The sequence below is a fragment of the Homo sapiens genome, chromosome 5 (genome assembly GCF_000001405.40).
Source record: "Homo sapiens chromosome 5, GRCh38.p14 Primary Assembly".
Classification (NCBI taxonomy): Eukaryota; Metazoa; Chordata; class Mammalia; order Primates; family Hominidae; genus Homo; species Homo sapiens.
Window position 1 is genome coordinate 4,947,310 of NC_000005.10, and position 1,578 is coordinate 4,948,887.

The 1,578-nt window shown below is 44.2% G+C and overlaps 1 annotated feature.

Moving 5' to 3' along the window:
• Window positions 474-643: an enhancer, noted in NCBI's record as "experimental_85978 CRE fragment used in MPRA reporter constructs". NCBI's record gives its function as "activates a minimal promoter by MPRAs in K562 erythroleukemia cells, with activity observed for both the introgressed and non-introgressed 5:4947981 variant alleles {active_cell/tissue: K562}" and the evidence as "EXISTENCE:reporter gene assay evidence [ECO:0000049][PMID:34662402]".

A 1,578-nucleotide genomic window follows, 5' to 3' on the forward strand; every position in this document is an offset into this window, starting at 1 on the left:
TGCCTTTGTTATGCTGAGGACACTCCCACCCAGTGACCATGACAGAAGTCACAGCACAAGACATCCTCATGACTCAACCAAGGGACCAAGGTGCTTCCCTGTGTTTCCCAAACAGCATAAAACCTCAGTGAGGCCCCTTCCTCAATAACAGCTTGAGTCCCCAGACTTCTAGAACACTACTGTACTAACAAGAATATTTCTTATTATCAACAGGACTAACTTATTTTAGCTCTCCATAATCTGATTTAAAATATACTTTTTCCCGTTTTTTCTGAGGAATGAATCGATTCTATTTTACTGTCTTTCCTCTGACTTCTGAAAGGCTAGGAGCCAAAATAGAATGTTCAATATCATATTTCCAGGTCTGCAACTGCACGCTCATTGCAGTGAACTCCCTGAAGAGGAATAACACTGTTCAATTCCAAAACACATTGTATTTTTATATTTCTCATCTACTAATGAAGAAATGACAAGTGCATTTAGCATCATGAGCTCCAACATGATGAGATGAACTGGAATGCCCAGAGTGGTCAGCACCTTACCTCTGTCCATGGGGACGCCAAGCTCTTCTGCTCTGGAAAACACACAACGTTTGGCAATGAGCATAATGTATTTGGCATAAAGAGGTGCTGCTTTGTAAAACATTTTAATTTGCCAGGAATGAGTCAAAGATTTCATTTAGTCACTTGTCACGAATTCAACACAGACTCGTGATAAAATGCTGAGCCGCCTTTCTCTCATTATTCAGAGGCCTCTGCTGTGTGAGTCTTCTGGGGCAGTCACGACTGGTGTCTCATCCCCAGGCTGCTTATGTGGTTCACGCCCCCTCCAGCCTCTTCTTAGTGAATGTTTTGGGAATCCCAGGTGGATGGCTCAATTAGAGGGCTGGAGAGGAAAATCCCCAAGGGAGAAATAAATAGCCTTAATGAATGAAATCAAGGTTCCCTTGATACAATCCATAGGCCTGGATAGTCCCTCGATGAGTTAAACAATTATGTAGTAACTGTGTTATCAAGATCCTGAACAATGCTTGGATTATTACCTCCACCGGCTCACACATGTCCAGAAATGATGGTGATGTCATCCTTAAATTGTGTTAGTATAAAGGAAGTAGCAATAGTATCACAGTGGTCTAGAACTCCGCAACAAATCTTTGCTTCTTATAAAAGAGTAAAAACTGTGCAGTTGGTAATTGGTCTGTCTGTTGGGCAGGGTGGGCTGTGGGATTTTATATTAATTATTTGTGTATTAGTTAGGTGTAGGTTGCAAGTGATGTGAGGCCAACTCACACAGCTTTTTGTCAAAGGTTCAGAGAATCCCTGGGCCATTGTACACCCAGACCCTGGGAGGGGCAGAGGCATGAGTGGGCACCCCAGGGAGTCTGGGGCTTGGCTTCGTATTTTACAGAATGTGTCTGCCCAGAGTGCCTACCGACCGATAGAGTGACCTGGCTTTCTTTTTCCCCCATATCCAAACATCCCAGAGAAACTCATCCTTGGAAGTCAAGCCTGGATGGATGGAACAGGCCAGGGAGGGATTGAAGGGCAGGGGAGCAGGGAATGACAGCTGACTTAGGTG